This window comes from Homo sapiens, chromosome 16, assembly GCF_000001405.40.
Source record: "Homo sapiens chromosome 16, GRCh38.p14 Primary Assembly".
Taxonomy (NCBI): Eukaryota; Metazoa; Chordata; class Mammalia; order Primates; family Hominidae; genus Homo; species Homo sapiens.
Genome location: NC_000016.10, coordinates 71,023,139 through 71,037,483, shown reverse-complemented (window position 1 = coordinate 71,037,483; position 14,345 = coordinate 71,023,139). Strand labels below are relative to the sequence as shown.

The window sequence follows — 14,345 nt, the reverse complement described above, 5'->3', positions numbered from 1 at the left end:
TTGTGTTTGACTAAGTAACTGGGGGAGGATAATCGTGCTCCAAGAGGTGGAGATCCTGGGGGCCAACTTAGAATTCTGCCTGTCACAACCCCATAGCCGCTCCTTTTCTGGCAAGAGTCTTGTATGTTAAATGCTTCCTTAGCATCCATCTTTGTTTTCTGTTTTGAGCTGATAATTGTATGTCACGTGGGGCATTTCAGATTTGGGGAAAATGATGACGATAGCTTTCGTTCTTGAGGACTTGCTTTGTGCCCAACATTGTGCTGAGATTTTACCTGCACTGTCTCACTCATCCGTCCCCACAGCTCTATATGGAAGGTACAGTCAATATCCTGAGCTACGGATGAGAAACCTGAGACCAGGCATACATAGTTAGGAGACATCCCCAAAGTTCCACAGCTGGAAAGCAGCAGAGCAGGGACTCAAACCCACATCCCTTTCCTTCAGCGCCCTCCCTCCCACCCTATTTCTATCAGCTGCTATTTCGCCCTATTGTGGTTTTGAAAGAATTACGGAATGCCCTCCATAGCTATGATGATTATCATTCGTCCTTTCCTTTTTTAGTCAAATTTTCCATTTAATAACAGGAAATATCACAATGACCAAGCCCTCCCTAAAAGCAAAGGATAGCCCTAAAAGTCAACCACCAAAGAGACACAAGGATGATAGAGTAGTTTCGAGGCTGACTCGTGTAAGGTAAGAGCAGTCCAGTGCCTTAACATCTGGCATTTTAATGTGTCTTTGTCTTGCATTCTATGATATATTTTGCTGTCTGGTTTTATGCCAAGCATTGATTAATAAGCTTCATCAGAAAACTCACCAATTCAGCCCTGAAGAACAACTTCAGGTCTTTCCAGAAGAGCCAACCTGTGTCAGCAGGAAACAGAAGAGAAATGGTACACATCCATTGAAAACTAATGTCCCCTGACTTGAAAGAGCACTTATGCTGATGACACCCTCACTTCATCGTGAACAGAGGATTGGCCTGTGCTACCAGCTAGAGGAGGAAAACAAATGATTGGAATAGGAAAGATGACATTGACAGTACTCTCTCTGCAAGGCATTTTGCTTTTTGATAAAATGACAAAAATGGCATTGATTTATGTTTTCGTTGTAAGCTGAGTCTCATAAATGAGCAAAGCTATGTAGGATGCTAACAGGCCATCAATTTGGGAAGAAGGGTCAACAAAGTGAGATCTTCTTGCCCAGAACTTTCTTAGTTTCTCTCTAGCTGCCCCTCCATTTGTCCTAAAAGCAGATGGATGTGAACTCTAAGCCTGCAGTTCCCAAAGGATCTGAAAGGCAATTCCCATAGGATCTGTGTTCTGATGGAGTAAGCTCTTCACCTTTCAAAATCTGAGATCTGGGAGAGTTGGGGGAAGATATGAGGATGTGGCAGTAAAGTGAACCAACAAGGAAACTTTGGCAGAGAGCAGCTAGCAGCTCGGCACACTCAACTCTCTTTACTGTAGACCCAGGGCTAGACTACATTTCCTAACCTCCACTGGGGTTAGGCTGCATTGACTCAGTTCTGGCCAGTGGAAGTGAACAGAAGTGATGTGCACCACTTCCAGGCATGGTGCATAAAATCCTAGCACACAACCCTCCTTTCTCTTTCTTCTCTTACTGGCCAGCTGGATGTCAATATGGATATCTTAGAAACCAAGAGTTAAATATGTCAGAATCCGTTTAGTAGAGATCTTTGCATGACTAAATGGAGCAGAAGCCCATCCTCACACCTGTCACCAATTGGAATTCATGTGGGCCCAAAATAAGCTTCTGTTGTATAAAGCCATTGAGCATCAGGGGTCTTTCTGTTACAACAGCTACCATAAACTTATCTAAAATAATAGCCTAGAATTTCAAAACAGCAAGTAGGGAAAACAGTTATAAGAAAGGAGAACGTCTGGTTACTCAAGCATGAGAAATCCATTTCCATGTATTGCTTTGATTGTGTATGCCAACTGAAAATGATAAAAGTCAAAGATTCCTATCTACTGTAATATAAATTCAAGATGAAATGAAGCTACCTTGATCCATTTTAAAATGTCTATAGAAAATTGAATTTGCACTTATAGCTCTTTTAGAACATATTTTATGTCATTTTCTATGATTAATGTGTTAGAGGATTTTAGTGTTGTCACTTTAAGGCTGTTAAAATGTTTCTTTTGATAAATTAGGAAGATGCATCAGAAATTATTTCTTTGAACCTAAGTATGGATAGAACATTGTAACATTCAATCCTTATAGTTTCTCTTGGCAATAATAATTGAGCTACAGTCCTGAAAATTAAATTTAATAGGATTATTATCTTTTACTAATATTTTAATACAAAATTATAAACAAATACAGATTAATGCTCTGGAGAGACAGAGACTTTGTTTACTGTTTTCTGATTATTTTAGTACTCTACTAGAACCAAGTTACTACGAATAGGAAAGTTATCGAGAAAATTTTGAAAAATAGATGCCTCTTGCAAGATTCAGCATTTTTTTCATGCGCATCCTTTGAATACAGACAATGATACAAACATCTCCATCCAGGTCCTACTTTATCTAGTGTGGTATTTAATGTTTAATTGTTTTTTTTTCTATTTCTATGTCTTTTTGGGATTTTCCATATTTGAAGATTATGAGTAATAATAGGACTCTTGACTTAGAGTTATATCTATAGTTTCCATTAATACCAAAAATTAAAATTTCCTCATTATCATTCATCTGCATCCTCATTTATATACAATTTAAAACCTTGAAAAATGTTCTTCTTTCCTTTATTTAATTCATTTAAATTTTAAAATGCAATTTACTTATTTCCCATGTAGATTTTCAAACCAGGAAGAAATATAACTAGCTTTCTGCTCTGTCTTACATTTGTCCTCAATTATAAATTGGGAAATTGACATTTTGCTTTAAATATTAGATTTTCCTTATTTAAGTACCTGTGAGCCTATTCCTAAGAGAGTGACCATCGGGCCCACTGACTGAATCTATTTTTTTAATCTGCAGTGGCGCCAGACCAGGATTTTGGTGACATTCCAAGGCACTGCCACCCTGTGAGATTCTGCCTGGCTGAAATCTCTAACTCTTGCTTTCAATCTGCAATGTACGTTTATGTCACTTACAGAGATCATCAGTGCAACTCTGACCTAAGTTTGTCAGGAGGTTTCCAGTCCATTGTACCTGAGCCCCCATAGAGCTACATGTGTTTTTACATTTCTCTTTTTTCTCCTTTTGCTAGAAGAAGTATATCATAGAATTAAATGAAAGGGTAATCTTAGACTGGAATGTCCTCTACAGCCCCGCTCAAATAGTAAAATTTGCATTTGTTTTCAAATCCATTGTTTTCTACTGTATGCGTTACTTTGGAGGGCTTCTTCTGCGGTACCAAACTCAGGGAGCTTCACGAAGCTTCCTGGGAGATTCACAAGGAAGATTCATGAAGGAATAATCAAACTCTTTTCTGATGAACTGGAGAGTGTGGCTTTTCCTCTCCGTTATTATCCTGGAAGCATCTAAATACTCTCCACATCTCTTCTTTTGCAGCTTTTTCTCAGTGCATATTGGTAATAACTAAATATTTTCTATAAAGATTAATCCACATAAGTACTTCTGAGTAATGTCTTTCCCAAAATAAAACAGGACTTTCATAATTGATCTAAATGACAAAGCAATCAAAATGGGGAAATGATTTATTTTCTTTTAAGTTCTAGGGTACTTGTGCAGGATGTGCAGGTTTGTTGCATAGGTAAACGTGTGCCATGGTAGTTTGCTGCACCTATCAACCTACCATCTAAGTATTAAACCCAGCATGCATTACCTATTTTTCCTGATGCTCTCCCCCCTGCCCCCCGACCCCTGACACGCCCTGGTGTGTGATGTTCCCCTCCCTGTGTCCATGTGTTCTCATTGTTCAGCTCCCACTTATGAGTGAGAACATGTAGTGTTTGGTTTTATGTTCCTGTGTTTGTTTGCTGGGGATAATGGCTTCCAGTTCCGTCCATGTCCCTGCAAAGGACATGACCTCATTCAAAAGGATGTTTTTTCTTTGATGCTTTTTATTAACTTTGAGATAATTGTTTATATAGGCAATTAAACAAATTAGAATTTTAGTAGTATTAATAATATAGTACAATATAATTAGGAATCACATCACCTGATAATTAAGCCCAATTTCATATTTGGAGGGAAAAGAAAATGTGTGTGGTGCATTTGTCAGACATTCCAAGGGTTTCAACATCCTTTGCTCTTGTTCTTTAGATTCCCCTGAAGTAGTTTCACTCTGGCCTCCTTATGAATTCCATTTTTGTTGTTGAAATATTGGTCTCACTAATGTCATTGCTGTCAGCTCCTCGGGGTGTTTATGTATTTCCCACAACACCTGGACCTCAGAGCCGTTGAATATGTATTTGTTATATTTACTTGAAAAGTCCAAAAACAATTTGCTCATTAAATTTGTAGAAGACTTGGAGGGGCTAGGAGGAGTGGTCCCTAATTATTAGTTGTAGTAGCTAGTAAGTTGAATGTCATAGTCAGAATTATAAAAGTTGTCAAAAGATGAAAACCTTATAAAAATCAAAAATACCAACACCTGAATTCAAAAATACAGAAATCAAAATTAAGGAGAGAATAGATGTGTTTAATAGCATATTACACATAGCTGAAGAGAGAGCTAGTGAATTGGAAGAGAGCTCAAAAGAAAGCATCAAAAATGAAGCACAGAAAACAACAAACAGAAAATGCAGATGAGGCTCAGAAACAGAGACAGGTTGAGAAATACAAATACTACTGTGTTATAGTTGCCTACAGTATTCAGTACAGAAACATGCTGCACGGGTTTTCAGCCTAGGAGCAACAGGTTATACCGTATAGCCTAGGTGTGTAGTAGACTCCACTGTCTCGCTCTACAATGTTTGCACAGCAACGAAATCACCTAATGACACATTTCTTAGAATGTTTCCCTGTCATTAAGTAACACATGTCTGTATTTCAGAATAAGTTTGCAATTTTAGCTAATGAAATTCTGATGAGGCTAATTATTAATTATTATAAATTAGTAGAAATCCAGATGACTTCTTATATTATATTAATGAAATTGGTTCATCCTCACTATAACACTAGAAATTTTGCATTTGAAAAACGTTTCTTTTAAAAATTTCAAACTCCAAAAAAAAAAAAAACAAAAAGGAAAAATAAATAAGAATAAAAAATAAAAATTTCAAACTCCATAAAGAGTATTGTGCCTTCTGTTGGTATCTCAGAATCTGGAGATTATAGTAGATAATAATTATAAGCTTGTTTGAGAATTGGACGGTTATCTTGCGAAAGAGATGTAAAGAATCTTCACAGAGAATTCAAAAGTAAAATCGTAGGTTTGCTCTTCAGAATCAGATTGCTTTTTGAAAAAAAGGAAAACCAACAAACATCCAGCTGCTTTAATTCAAAAAATAATGTTTGTCTCTGATGTTGAATTCCACAATGCCACCCATTTGAAGTGTAGAGGGCTTTGACATCTATAGAACAAAAAGCCAAGAATATCTTCCCTGTTAACTTGTACTCTTGTGTTGCAGGCACACAAAAAATCCCTTTGGACGATTGAACCCAATGAAGGCATGGTTCCTCCAGAAACTGATGTTCAACTGGCACTGACCGCCAACCTGAATGACACACTGACATTCAAGGACTGTGTTATTTTGGACATTGAAAATAGCAGTACCTATCGGATTCCTGTTCAGGCTTCCGGAACTGGTTCCACTATTGTTTCAGATAAGCCCTTTGCTCCAGAACTCAATTTGGGGGCACATTTTAGGTAAGGAAATCTCATGGACCAGTTTTTATAGATATCACATATGTTACATATGCTGAGCATCACCTCTACTTTAGAAAATTATTTTAAGTAATTAAAACTAGCCACCTCAGTCCCTCTCCTTTCCCATCCTCACTCTTCCACCTCCTGATGTGTATGTCAGCAACAAGAAGACATTTTCTAGCCATAACTTGGTTGCATTCTCTAATCCGTGTCCCTCTACATCCGAGAAGAATATGGTTTGTAGGAAATGCATTCTTTTCTCAAACTGGCTACTCTGTGATTAATTTAGACTCTCAACCGTAATTTCTCCTCTTTGATTCCAATACACTGTTAATCCCTCTCCACAAATGTAGAAAATACAGATACAGCTTAGTGGTAACCTAAGCAGAACATACCTAGGAAGGTAAAAATTTATTGCAAGTGTATTTTATCAGCTATTGCAGAGCCAGCAGCTTTTTTTTTTTTTTTTTTTTTTTTTTGAGATGGAGTCTTGCTCTGTGGCCTAGGCTGGAGTGCAGTGGCGCGATCTCTGCTCACTGCAAGCTCCGCCTCCCGGGTTCACGCCATTCTCCTGCCTCAGCCTCCCAAGTAGCTGGGACTACAGGTGCCCACCACCACGCCTGGCTAATTTTTTGTATTTTTAGTAGAGACGGGGTTTCACCGTGTTAGCCAGGATGGTCTCGATCTCCTGACCTCATGATCCACCTGCCTCGGCCTCCCAAAGTGCTGGGATTACAGGCATGAGCCACCGTGCCCGGTCACTAGCAGCTTTTGCAAAGCTTATGTCCTCTACTTGACTCCCATAGTACCGACAACTGAGATGGTTTCCATTGGCTTTGCCTGATTACCCAGGAAAAGCTAGAGGGTCTAAATATTTAAATAAGCTGTGGTACAGTATAGACACCTCTGAGCAGAACAATCTAAATGTGGACATAAAAATCAGGTTTGGACCAGGCACAGTAGCCCACGCCTATAATCCTAGCAGTTTGGGAGGCCAAGGCAGGAGGATCACTTGAGTTCAGGAATTCAAGACCAGCCTGGACAACATGGTAAAACCCCATCTCTACAAAAGTACAAAAAATTCTGGGCATGGTGGCAGGTGCGTGTAGTCCCAGCTACTCAGGAGGCTGAGGTGGGAGAATCACTTGAGCCCAAGAGGCAGAGGTTGCAGTGAGCCAAGGTCGTACCACTGCACTCCAGCCTGGGTGACAGAGTGAGACCCTGTCTTAAAAAAAAAAAAAAAGAAAGAAAAGAAGAACAACACACACATATACATATACACACACACATATATATGTATACACACACATATATAAGGTTTGGGCTGGGAGCAGTGGTTTATGCCTATGATCCCAGCACTTTACTTTGGGAGGCTGAGGTGGGAGGATTGCTTGAGCCCAGGAATTGGAGACCAGCCTGGGCAACATAGGGAGACCCCCCTATCTCTACGAAATAAAAAAATTAGCCTCGCATGATGTCACATGCCTGTTGTCCTACCTACTTGGGAGGCTGAGGTGAGAGGATTGCTTGTACCCGGGAGGTTGAGGCTACAGTGAACCAGGATCACACCACTGCAACTCCACCATGGGCAACAGAGCAAGACTTCATCTCAAATTAAATAAATAAATATATATATGAGGTTTGAGTGCTAAGTGTAGAGGGTATGTGTGGGGATTCTTGATTCCTCAGGAGAGTCATGTCGCCATCACTAGTTGGCTCTTGGGGGCCAGTTGAATTTGAACTTATCTGTTGCAGTACTGTGAACAGATCTCAGAAGGTATTCCCCCTGCCTTCTGGGCTCACAGGCCCTGAAATCAAGTCATATATGCTGTGCTTGGAGATGTGACTGACATTAATCAATTAGGAGCCCTCCCCAGAATCCTTCCCTCTGCTCCATCTACAAAATATGGGACTTGATTGAAAATACCATAAACTAGTAGAAAATTAAGTAAAAAGCAAGTCACATGGTTGAATTGCATGCTTTTAGACAAGTATCCAATTATATTTTTCAAGTCGACTAAATATAAGAATTGTCCTCTCTGCCTGTCTATTGGCCGTAAGCGAGGGTAGTTTGTCATTGCATACCAGTGCTTCTAGTTTCAAATTTCTTTTCGTGCACTCAAATATAATTGTAGAAAACAATATGTGGCAAACCAGACCTAATTACATGTTCTTTTAAATCTACAAATAGTGTCAAGTAGCCTTCAAAGGATATTCTGACATATGGAATTGGAGGGTTAGCTAACAGTTTTCTATGAATATAAAAGCAAACTGTAGCTTTAGTTGCTAATTTGCCCTCTGCCTAAACTTTTTGACATAAAATCACTATGCCTGCAGTCTCCAGAAGAATTGTCAAAAGCAGGGCTGGGTAAACTACAACCCTCTGCCTGCTTTTGTAAATAAAGTTTTATTGGAACACAGCCATGCCCATTTCTTAACATATTGTCTATGGCTGCTTTCACACTACAAGGGAAAGTTGAGTAGCTGTTACAGAGACCGTGTGGCCCAAAAAGCCTAAAATATTTGTTGTTTAGCCCTTTAAAGAAAAAGTTTGCCAACATCTGCTCTAAAGAAATAGCCATACGCTGCCGCTTCTAATTGCATATTTTTAGACAACTCCCTTAGGTTTTCAGAGCTTCCATTTCTTGATCTATAAAATGGTAGTAAATATACTTATCATGACTGGATTGCTGTGATGATTGAAAGATATACTGTGAATAAGTAACAGACATCCTGCCTAGTCTTTATAAACAGTATGTGTTTTTTATAAACAGTATATGGTTTTTATAAACAGTATATGTTGTTTATTATTTCCCCCAAAAGCCTACTGTTAGCCATAAACTACCAAGTAAAGAAGCTCCCTTGAGCGTGCCCCGTGGACACAGATTCACAACATATGTAGCTAGAAATGGTTATACCTAACAACTAGCAAATATTCCTTCTGATTGTTTATTTCATGGTTCAACTTACCAGGCATGATGTCATTTCCTAAGGAGGAACAGATGGGATGAAATCTCAAAGCCTAGTAAAATTTAAAAAATAAAAAACAGTCCCGAGATGAGTTTTTCCCTAAGAAAATATTTTAAAGTAAGCCTGTGGGGAAAAAAAAAAATCCCAAACAAACAAAAACACATTTGAACCATATCCGAGATCTTAGAAATCCCAGTTTTTTTTTTAGCAAATAGCCAGGCAGTCGGAACGTTCTTAGTAAATATTTGTGGAATATATGAATGCATGATGAACAAATGAATACATGAAATTGCAACATCTTTAAAGCACATTAGTCTGAGATGGGTGACCAATCCCGGTGGTGTTCTGGCCCATTGCAGTCCCCCTGGCCTCTGTTAAAGCTTAGAGAATATGCATGGTTTTTCTTCAAAGCTTCCTTCAAATTGAGCCCATTGTTATGGGACATTCCACTCAGTCACTAGTAATTTTCTCAGCACAGCTTGAAACTCGCTTCTCCTTCAGTAGGTATTTTGCTTTCCTTTCACTCCTCAGAGCTATTTTTCTAAATGGGATTGCTTTTCACATGAACTGTGTGTGTCCTGCAGTGTGTGGGGCCTGCTGGGGAAGACTTACGGGGAGTGGAGATTTTCCACAGCCCCTTACCTGGTGATGCCAACGCTGTGTTAGTTCCTAGTGGCATCGTGACTTAGTCTTCCTACATTTAAAAAAAAAAAAAAGTCTTATATTGTTGCTCACCATTTTAAATACTTCCAGAAGAGTAAATCCCAAGGGTGTAGAGCTGAACAGAACATCCCTAAATGGAATCCTCTCAACACCTGCCTCGTCTTTTCCAGCCTGGATACCCACTATTACCACTTTAAGTTGATCAACAAGGGACGTCGGATCCAACAGTTGTTCTGGATGAATGATAGCTTCCGACCCCAGGCCAAGCTGAGTAAGAAGGGCCGGGTTAAGAAGGGACATGCTCATGTCCAACCCCAGCCCAGTGGCTCTCAGGAGCCCAGGGATCCACAGAGCCCCGTGTTTCATCTCCACCCCGCCAGCATGGAGCTGTACCCAGGCCAGGCAATTGATGTGATACTCGAAGGCTATTCTGCTACTCCCAGGGTAAGGGGATAGCACATTTGGAAGCTATTGTTTTTTCCTAAATAAATCTCTACTGTATCTATTTCTTAGGAAAGTCCCTTGACATTTATCTGAGGAAGGATATGGTTTCTCAAGGATTGTGTACAATCCTGAGTTACCATAGTAGCATCCGTTGCTTTCGGGGTGCAGCTCTGCTCAGTCTTCAATTTGTTTCTGTAGCTACTGTGAACCCAATCTTAAAGGAGGTTCTCATGCCCAGGGTCCACAGTGACCAGCCAGCAAGTCTCTGGTAGAAAAACACCCAGTTTTTAGCCAAAGCAAATTCTCCTATTAACACTTAGCAGGATGAATTTAATATTCATTCAAAAAGGGTGTTTATATCGACACTCTGGGCTGCCTCTCCTATTCAGGTATTGGGACATCCCTGTTCCTTTCTTTCCAGCCTGACTGCAACTCACATTTCAAAACATCTTCTTTTTATGCATTAATAAAAGAGCCACATTTATCTTCAGCAACTCTGATTCCCTGCTTTTATTTACATGATCTCCATACACTCTACGTAAAACATTTCAGTAGATCCAAATCATGAGTGTTTCTTTATCCCTATTCTCTCACAGAGTGTGGAAACCATTAAAAACCTAAAGGAAAGGCTTTCAAAGTCACTTAAGAGTCTCTCCCTCCCGACAAAATGCAGACCTTGTAGATGAGAAATGATGCTTGCTTAAGATCCTGCTTGTGTTGCCAAATTTGGAGGTGATACTGACTTTTCCCCACATTAAATAGGAAGCAAAAAGAACTTTGTCTCCCAGTAGACACAGCTGGAAAGCTAGTCCCTTGCTTAGCTTCTCTAAGGTCACAGATTCTACTTTATTTCATTAGATTATTTCTTCATAGAGCATTTTCAGGTAAAACGCATCCTCAGTTCAACAAAAGGGGAGGTTATCTCTCATTGTGGAAAAGATAATGTGTTCCTTCTCTCTGTTATTCAGGTGATCAGCCAACTTTTATTGTGTGTATACCATGTGACAAATACTGTGCTAGGCACTGAGGATGTAAAGATGAATAGAACACAGGCCCTTATCTCAAGACACTGACAGCTGTTGGAAGAGCATATTTATAATGTGGTTATCAAGAGTTGTCCATATTTTTGAAGGCATTAATTCTGAGCTGCTGGGGGACTAAACTCAGCTTAAGCTTTACTAAAAGCATCCCCGAATGTTCTTCTAAATCATGCTACATAATTGAGAAGAGACTGGAATGCATTAACATCCCTAACCTGAGCACTCTTCTATATAACCTATTCATGCTGTAAATTCACTTTTGATCCTTTCTGCTTTATAAAAATCTAGGCTTTTTGAGTCCAAAGAAATATTAATTCCTAATGCATGATTTTTAAATGTTTAAGTATAAAAGGCAAAAATTTGGCCGGGCACGGTGGCTCACGCCTGTAATCCCAGCACTTTGGGAGGCCGAGGTGGGTGGGTCACCTGTGGTCGGGAGTTCGAGACCAGCCTGACCAACATGGAGAAACCCCGTGTCTACTAAAAATACAAAATTAGCCAGGCGTGGTGGCACATGCCTGTAATCGCAGCTACTTGGGAGGCTGAGGCAGGAGAATCGCTTGAACCGGGGAGGCAGAGGTTGCAGTGAGCTGAGATTGCACCATTGCACTCCAGCCTGGGCGACAAGAGCAAACTCCATCTGAAAAAAAAAAGGAAGAAAAAGACAAAAACTTTCCAACTACAGTTTTCAATAGTTTATTAAGAAATCATATAACCACCTTTGAACTATAAGCCCCATGAAAGATTTTATCTGTCTTGTTCATCAATGTTTTTACTCCCAGAACTGAATGTAAATCAACTGCCTCAGGGCAGTCAGAAATAAATACAGAATCCATCAAGGCCATGTGTAACTAACAAAAACATAATCATGTGACAAAGAGCAGTCCCTGAAACGTGCTGTTCAGAAAAGTGTGCTCTTCCTTGTGTCCCCAGGCAGGTAGTCGGAAATCCATTTTCTCTCAGTGGGTAAATAAGTATTCTGAGTAAGTATTAAGTTATAGTTGTTCCCCAAATGCTGGCTTATCTCACTGGCAGATAGTGAAAGAGAAGCTGGTGTGCCACGCCATCATCGGGGCACAGAAGGGGAAGAGCTTGGTGATGGCTGTGAACATCACCTGTGAGTTCGTCGCACCTCTCATCCAGCTCTCCACCAAGCAGCTCATCTACCGACTGGAGAAGGTCAGTGAGGTGTGCTGGCGAGGGCTGGGTGCTTCGACTAGGGTCAGCATGTTTACATTTTCATTTTGAAAGCTGAATTAATGGGCATCCTTTTCCACCCATTACTCAGCCCATGTTTTTTAAGCTTCAGAGGCCAGTACACATTCAACTAAAAATTCTGAATCTAAACCTACAATCCTTTGACATGTAAGTTGCTGTGGAAATTCTATTTCCATCATTCCTGATGTCTAAGACCTAAGGAAGTGGTATTCCAGTGCACTGAATATGCATTTTAGTCAATCATCTTACTTTAATCAGGTAAAATAAACCCAAGGCAGAGGAAGGATTGGAGTAGAATTATTGATAATTATAATTATCAGTAAGAGTATCTACCACTGATTGATTAGTACTTGCTAGACATGGAGCCATGTTCATTACATACATTTACCCAGTAGTCCCTCACAACAACCGTATGCAGCAGGTTCTGTTATCACACAAGGAAATGACGTGTGATGTGATGCACACGAGGAAACTGAGATACAGGTTAAGCTGGAGAATAATCAACTTAAAGTATTAGATTCACACTCTTTAACTTAAATGGCTCTACGTAAGGGTAGACAGTAAATGTCAGAGTCAGGGGACAAGGGAGAGAAGGTAGTGGCTGCTGCTCAGGGCGGGGGGTCAGGATAGTGAAGAGATGGGGTGGAGGAGATATCACAATAGGCTTGACCTGCCCCTAGATAGGCTTCCATCCAGAATTAATTACCATTCAAGACATGTAAGGAATGTCTGTTCTGAGTTGGGGATTGAGCTGGTACTGGAAATCTAGTGAACCAGACAAACATAACCAAAGCTAAGCTGGCTGACTTTAAACAAATTATTAAAATTTAATTGTTGAAGTCACCATTATAAACATTGCTATTAAGAAGAGGTGCAAGGTGCTGGGAGGGCATGTATTAGGAGACATGATCTTGTTCGTCCATGTGGTCATGAATGACTTTCTTGAGCAAGTGCCTCAAGTTGAGACTACAAGTAAAAATAGAATCTAGTCTGGTGACAAGGGAGGGGGAGAGAATTGTAGGCAGAGGGACTAGCTCACATGAAGGGCTCGAGTTAGGAAAGGCCACCTTGGACAGAGAATGTGCCAAGGATGGCAAAAGTCCATCTGGAGACGTGCAGTCTGCCTGGAAGGCATTATCTGAACTTTGGGTTTTGTTCTGGGTGGCCATTGGAGGGCTTCCAGGAAGGGAGTGACATGGTCAGATTCACTGAAACCATCATGCTGGCCACTGAATGGAATGTTTATTAAGGTCTATCATGTGCTAGGCACAGTGTTGGGGGCTAGAGATACAACAGTGAGAACAGTCCTCCCTGATAAATTTCACAGCCTGCTGGGAAGACCAAGCATTAAGTAAGTCACTGCCCCACAGTGTGATCTTTGCTGTCACACAAAAACATTGGGTGTGGCAGTGCCTAACCAGTCATGAGGTATCAACTGGGGTTCCTTTCATTACCTGGAGGTTTGCAGAAGAATGTTCAAGACCATTTATTTTGGTAGTGGATTCCATCATATTTTGTTCATTAAAACAAATTAGTATCTGTTGATTATCACCATGGGAAAGATGTTCTGCTAGGAGATGAAAAAAAGAGCTTGTGGTCCAGTAGGAGAGGTGAGAGGTACAAGTTCAATTCAAATCAACAAGTAACTTTTGAGCAGGTGTATCGGTCACCTACAATATATAAGGCAGAAAAGACACAGCAAAGACCATGGTTTATCAGTCTCAGGAAACTTACACAGGAACAGAAAACCAAACACTGCGTGTTCTCACTCATAAGTGAGAGTTGAACAGTGAGAATACGTGGACACAGGGAGGGGAACATCACACACTGGGGCCTGTCGTGGGGTCAGGGGCAAGAGGAGGGAGAGCATTAGGACAAATACCTAATGCATGTGGGGCTTAAAACCTAGATGATGGGTTGATAGGTGCAGCAAACCACCATGGCACATGTACACCCATATAACAAACCTGCACGTTCTGCACATGTATCCCAGGACTTAAAATAAAATAAAATAAAATATCCATGGCTTGGCTTAATAGATGAGTGGGGAAGGTGGACATTGTTAGTTTAGCTTCCCGTCACTGAAACCCAAGCTAAACCCGAAGCCAACAAGCTCCATGAGACATGTAAAAGGAAAATACGACAAGAGTTCCTGCTACAGTTATTAAGCTTTATTGCTCTATTTTAAATTCTTCATTTTTAAGT

General features: G+C 40.3%; 1 protein-coding gene across 4 annotated transcripts in view, besides 1 other annotated feature; it reads left to right on the top strand.

Annotated features, from left to right (window-relative positions):
* HYDIN (HYDIN axonemal central pair apparatus protein) overlaps positions 1-14,345 on the top strand; it is a 428,639-nt gene that overhangs the window by 193,239 nt on the left and 221,055 nt on the right. For 2 of the 4 annotated variants that reach the window (NM_001198543.1, NM_001198542.1), the window contains exon 19: positions 5,567-6,073. In NM_001198543.1, coding sequence (NP_001185472.1) covers positions 5,567-5,809 — 243 coding nt within the window. In that variant the 3' untranslated portion in view covers positions 5,810-6,073. Of the gene's footprint in view, positions 1-5,566; positions 6,074-9,608; positions 10,377-11,957; positions 12,102-14,345 lie in introns of those variants that run through there. The other 2 variants (NM_001270974.2, NM_017558.5) reach the window with 2 other exon arrangements.
* Positions 8,875-9,591: an enhancer, noted in NCBI's record as "OCT4-NANOG-H3K27ac hESC enhancer chr16:71061796-71062512 (GRCh37/hg19 assembly coordinates)". NCBI's record gives its function as "activates a minimal SCP1, AML or CMV promoter by ChIP-STARR-seq in naive and primed H9 embryonic stem cells {active_cell/tissue: H9 hESC(naive and primed)}" and the evidence as "EXISTENCE:reporter gene assay evidence [ECO:0000049][PMID:30033119]".